A 6,026-nucleotide genomic window follows, 5' to 3' on the forward strand; every position below is an offset into this window, starting at 1 on the left:
CCCCACAACTTACTAAAGACAGAGCCAGCACCAAAATCCAAATCTCTGACTCAGATTGAATGGATCTTTATGTATGTGTGTGAAGTGAATTTATTCAAGAGCCATTATAATATTACTGTTAAGAATGTAGACTGTTAGGCCAAACTGCCTGGATTTGAATCTCAGATCTGCTCCTTGGTAGTTTTGTAACTTCAGCTAAATTATGCAACCTTAGTTTCCTCATTTATTAAGTGGGCATAATGCCAGTTTCTTTGGTACAGAGAGATAATATATAGGATACAGGCATAATGCTAATCTTCCAGGCTTATTTCAAGTCTTAAAGTGTTAATTCATGTAAAGCACTTAAATAGTGCCTAGCTGCAGAGTCAATACTCAGTAAGTGTGTTAACCCAAATCTTTAAGGGGGAAAAAAAAAACGTTGTTACAACTTTGCCCAAAGTCAACATCTTAGTTGAGATAACCATGAGGAAATTTTACCTAATCTTTTGAACCAAGCAAACTCCTGAAAACTGGACTAAAGGCAAAGAGAGGATATTTGGCCTCTCATTCTGAAAATGGTGTTTGGTGTTTTCCTGAAGAACCTCTCTGAAAACATTCAAGCTCGTGACTATCTGATAGTGCTGCTTTTTGAGACGCTCTTTTCTCCTTTAGAACTAGCCATCTTGATTGGCATTTTATAAAGATTTAACAATCCTTCTAACTGACAAATACCCTGCCCTCAGCAACTGAGGTTTCTCTCGCTTCCTGTCCTGTTGAAACCATAGAAGTTTGAGTCTTATTCTTCAGCTCTAAACTTTCTCTATGCTTTTACAAAGGGTAAGTATAATTTCTTTTTTTCCCACCAAAGCTAGGAAGTGCGTCTTGTCTGCTTCATCATGGAACACATTAAAATCTGATGTTTTTAGTGTACCACTGATACCTGCTATGCCAGTCTGACTGTATGAGAGACAGAGAAAAATAAAAAGATATTTGTTACCATATTTTAAAGGGACAGAGAAAAATAAAAAGATATTTGTTACCCTATTTTAAAGTGTGTTCATCACTTTATAGACTCACTTTTACATGGCAAGTGTTTTGCTGGGTATTAATGTGTAAGAAAATTAGCTGGGTGTAGCACACACCCACAGTCTCAGCTACTCAGGAGGCGAAGGTGGGAGGATTGCCTGAGCCTAGGAGTTCAAGGCTGCAGTGAGCTATGACTTGTGTGACTGGACTTCAGCCAGGGTGACAGAATAAGACTGTCTCCAAAAAAAAAAAAAAAAAAATCAAAATGAATTTCTGCCTCTCAGAACCTCAGAACTTGTTATCTGGTGGGGAGTACAGACCAGTGGTCAAGTGGTCAAGCAGTTACCATGCGGTTTAAGTGCTATGAAAAGTAAAAATGTAGGATGCTACAGGAGTCCATGGGAAGAGGATCCAGCCAGACCAGCTTTCCAAAGTAGGTGATTAGCAAACATCTGGTTGCCCTTAGAGGGAGAAGTTTTGCGGGGGAGGGGGCTGTGACAAGAGAAAACGGGAAGGAAGTAGGAACCAGAACATGGCATTTCACGAGGGCAATGGGAAGCCATCAGAGTGTTTTCAGTTAAGGAAGTGACAACTGGATTTGCATTTGTGATGACAGGGCAGGACCTGGGAGGCCAGTTGGGAGTGGCTGCTATAGCCCAGATGAGATATGTGGGCCCCAGAACTACAGTTCAGGGAGTGGAATCAGAACTAAAACCTTTAAAAAAAAAAAAAATCTTTGCCTGGGCTTACCCAAAAACCTCTTAGAGGGCAAATGATAGGTCAGCCTTGGCAAGTGGGGAATTTTTTTAATATTAAAAAAATAATCTGGGTGTGGTGGCTCATGCCTGTAATCCTGGCACTCTGGGAGGCCGAGGCAGGTGGATCACCTGAGGTCAGGAGTTCGAGACCAGCCTGACCAACATGGTGAAACCCCGTCTCTACTAAAATACAAAAATTAGCCAGGCATGGTGGCTAACACCTGTAATCCCAGCTACTCAGGAGGCTGAAGCAAGAGAATCGCTTGAACTTGGGAGGAAGAGGTTGCAGTGAGCCAAGATCGCGCCATTGGACTCTAGCCTGGGCAACAAGAGCAAAACTCTGTCTCAAAAAAAAGGAAAAAAAAAAAACTTTTAATGTCAAATGAATAGGACTTCGCAGAGGACAAAAGAAGAAGCAATTGAGCATAAAGCCTACCACCAGCACCACTTCTTCCATCATATTTAGCCTGTTACAGAAATAAAAGTTCCATGATCACCAATATTTGGGAACTACTACATCCTCCTCCTGGAGATTGTTCATGCTGTAAAGCATATTAAAAGCTCCATGTTGGCTGGGCACGATGGCTAATGCCTGTAATCCCAGCTGCTTGGGAAGCCAAGGCAGGCAGATCGCTTGAGCTCCGGAGGCCGGGGCTGCAGTGAGCTATGATTGTACCACTGCATTCCATCCTGAGCGACAGCGTGACACTCTGCCTCAAACGAATGAATGAATGCATGCATGAATGTCCCGAGTGGCCCTGCAGTAGAGAAACCTGTTAAACTGCCTGCTTTTCTGCCATTTCACCAAAGACTTGTTCACATTATTTGGGGGACAGAGAGTGTTTGTTGTGGTTTCTGTCTGTCCAGTTGCTCTTTTTTAATTGGAGAAGAGGCATGCAAATGTATTGAACATCCCACAGAGAGAATCACAGAGTGGTTGCCTTGCCCAGCTCCCTCTGAGCACCCGTGCTAGATTTGGGGAATGCTGGCTATGTCAGTCCATCCTCTCTCAGGACAACCCAGAAAACTTTGGACTCCTGCATTTGGGACCCAGGCATGCGAGGAGGTGGTAAAGCTGTGTTTCCGTGGCAGGGCACTCAGTGGGACTCAGTGGTGGTGGCATCAGTTTCCTCATCCGACCAGTTCCGTAAGATGGGTTTGGGCATTTTTTTTCTTCTGGAACTTTAGCCTTGAACCAGTCTCTCTAGACCACTCCAAAATCCTGAAGTACCCAATATCCTTTAAATAATTGGCTTTCAGTTTACTCAAAGTCAGCTTCTCTTGCTTGCTTGACTGCTAGAGTGGTACACAGCAGTTGTGTTCCAGGAGCATGCTGTGGAGAGTTGATCTAACAGATGAGAGTGCTTCCAATCAAGCCTCATGCCATCTGGCAGGTAAGAGAGCTCAGGGCCACGTGCAGTGGAAGGACCCAGACTTGGCAGATCAATGTGGATTACAGTCCCATTTCCTCCATTAGCCAGTGGGGCAAGTGACTTATTCTCTCTGAACCTTAATTTCATTTAGGCCTATTAGATAGCTATCTTGCAGAATAGCTAGAAGGATGAAATGAAATAATGTATGTAAAAGATAGCTTTCCAGCTTTTTTTTTAAAATCACAAACTAATTTTTGAGTCGCTATTCTGAGTACTTGTTATAGGTGTATCTTGAGTACCCAAGAGTGCTGGCATCTATGGAAGATGCTCAATTGCTGTTGAACAAATGGATGAATCTTGACTTTGGTATTGAAACTGAGTTTTTATATAAATACGTAAATACACTAAAACATAAATTTTATTTATTTATTTATTTTCAGTTGGGGTCTTGCTCTGTCACCCAGGCTGCCGTGCAGTGGCACAATCATGGCTCACTGCAGCCTCCAACTCCTGGGATCAAGCAATCCTCACACCTCAGCCTCCCAAAGTGCTGGGATTACAGGCTCTCACCATTCCTAGCTAACTTTTTAATTTTTTGTAGCGACAGGGTCTCACTTTGTTGCCTAAGCTGGTCTTGAACTCCTGAGCTCAAGTGATCGTCCCACTTTGGCCTCAGATTTGTAATTTAAGTAACGGTAGAGAAACTAAAATAACTAAGTCTATTGTAAGTTCATTAAGTAAATTAAAAAAGAAATATATCCTTGCTAGAAGATGAGTTTTAAATTCTGTCTCCTACAATTATCAGATTTATTTTTTTTCCTGACCTACCCTGAAAACCATTTAAAAACAAATTGTTCTGGAATGTTTTAAACACATGCAAACATAGAGAGAGTGGTATAATGAACTCCCATCACCCAACTTGAGCAATTATCAACATATAGCCAATCTTGTTTCTTATACAGGTTCAGAATCCTTTATCCAAAATGCTTAGGACAAGAAGTGTTTCAGATTTCACATTTTGGAATATTTGCTTTATGTTTACAGGTTGAGCATTCCAACTCCAAAACTCTCTAATCTGAGTGCTGCAAAACAAGCATTTCCTTTAAGTGTCCGGTTAGCACTCAAAACATTTTGGGCCAGGCATGGTGGCTCATGGCTGTAATCCCAGCACTTTGGGAGGCCGAGGCAAGCGGATCACCTGAAGTCAGGAGTTCAAGACCAGCCTGGCCAACATGGCAAAACCCCGTCTCTACTAAAAATACAAAAATTAGCCAGGCGTGGTGGCAGGTGCCTGTAATCCCAGCTACTTGGGAGGCTGAGGAAGGAGAATCACTTGAACCTGGGAGGCAGAGGTTGCAGTGAGCTGAGATTGTGCCACTGCACTCCAGCCTGGGCGACAGAGTGGACTCTGTCTCAAAACAAAAACGTTTTGAATTTTGGAGCTTTTCAGATTTTCGATTTTCAGTTTTGAGATGCTCAGCCTACCCTATTTCAACTTGCTCCCTCACCCCCACAAAGGATTATTTTGAAGCAAATCACAGACATCACTTGATATAGAAATCTTCCAGTAACTATCTCCAAAAGTTAAGAAAAATTTTACATATAACTACAATACTATATCATACCTGAAACGCTAATAATTTTGTAGCAATTTTATACCAAATATTCTGCTTAAACTCCTCCAACTGTCCCATAAATGTATCCTTTAGAGTTGGGTTATTTGAATTGAGATCCAGAAAAGGATACTTGAATAGTAGCAATTGCACAACCTAGGACCTAGGTTTCTGAAATCCCTGTTTCTGAATTCTATCTGATTACATATGTGAACTCAATTTATGCATATGGAATACACTTTCAATAAATGACATACAGTTAGTGGATGGATGGGTACAGACATTTTTTTTAAAAAAAGGAGAGAGATAACAAAATGACGTACAGTGACTTCTGCTGAGATCTTCCACAATAAACCAGCAGCATTATCATGGTGAACATCACTACCATCTCTTCACGTGCTAACAGCCACATGGGAAATGGGACTCCAGCATGCAAGGCACAACGCATCCTTAGAGAGCACCCAGTCCCGATGACAGCATGGGGTTAGGAAGGAGACCATGAGGAAGAAAGTGGAATGGGTATGTTTAAATGTATGCAGCGATAGACAAAGATGTTGGACATTAGGGGAAAAATAATGACAAATTGATGGAAAACCAGGATAAGAAAAAAAAGGCGATTACTAATTCCAAGAACAAAGAAAGGAATTGTGGTTTAGTGGGCTTCTTAGTTCAGCAGTGAGCAAAATTTGCATTGTCCTAGAAATTTAGAGTGATTTAATAGAGAATTCCGGTACAATTTTGTGGGGCAAAGGAGAAATGTGGGAGAGAGTTTTGGAGAGCTAAGTCCTTACCTATCAGGCCAGCAAATCAAAAGATAATATATGATACTGATAAATCAGAAAGCGTGATAGCTTATCATTTGGGAATACAGAGATAATAACAGGAGAAACAGAAGGGGTCGGAGTGTTTACTTCCCATAGAGGGCTTGGGATTCTAGAGAAGGCAAGAACCTGCTGTTCTGTTCTTTTCTTCTTTCTTTTCTTTTCTTTCTTTCCTTTCTTCCTTCTTTTTCTTCTTTCTTTTCTTTTCTTTCTTTCTTTCCTTTCTTTCTTCCTTCTTTTTCTTCTTTTTTTTCTTTCTTCCTTCCTTCCAGAATTTCTTTCCTTCTCTTCTCTTCTCTTCCTCTTCTCTTCGACTGCGTCTTGTTATATTGCCCAGGATGGTCTTCAACTCCTGGATTCAAACGGTCCTCCTGCCTCTGCCCCCCAAGTACTGTGATTAGAGGCATGAGGCACCACACCTGGCCCTTAACTTTTTAAATCATGTATGCACGTGAA

At 41.5% G+C, this 6,026-nt stretch overlaps 3 annotated features.

Annotated features, from left to right (window-relative positions):
• Positions 101–301: a silencer, noted in NCBI's record as "peak2585 fragment used in MPRA reporter construct". NCBI's record gives its function as "represses an SCP1 promoter by STARR-seq MPRAs in K562 erythroleukemia cells {active_cell/tissue: K562}" and the evidence as "EXISTENCE:reporter gene assay evidence [ECO:0000049][PMID:32103011]".
• Positions 601–801: a silencer, noted in NCBI's record as "peak2586 fragment used in MPRA reporter construct". NCBI's record gives its function as "represses an SCP1 promoter by STARR-seq MPRAs in K562 erythroleukemia cells {active_cell/tissue: K562}" and the evidence as "EXISTENCE:reporter gene assay evidence [ECO:0000049][PMID:32103011]".
• Positions 2,261–2,461: a silencer, noted in NCBI's record as "peak2587 fragment used in MPRA reporter construct". NCBI's record gives its function as "represses an SCP1 promoter by STARR-seq MPRAs in K562 erythroleukemia cells {active_cell/tissue: K562}" and the evidence as "EXISTENCE:reporter gene assay evidence [ECO:0000049][PMID:32103011]".

The sequence above is a fragment of the Homo sapiens genome, chromosome 16 (genome assembly GCF_000001405.40).
Source record: "Homo sapiens chromosome 16, GRCh38.p14 Primary Assembly".
In the NCBI taxonomy this organism is placed as follows: Eukaryota; Metazoa; Chordata; class Mammalia; order Primates; family Hominidae; genus Homo; species Homo sapiens.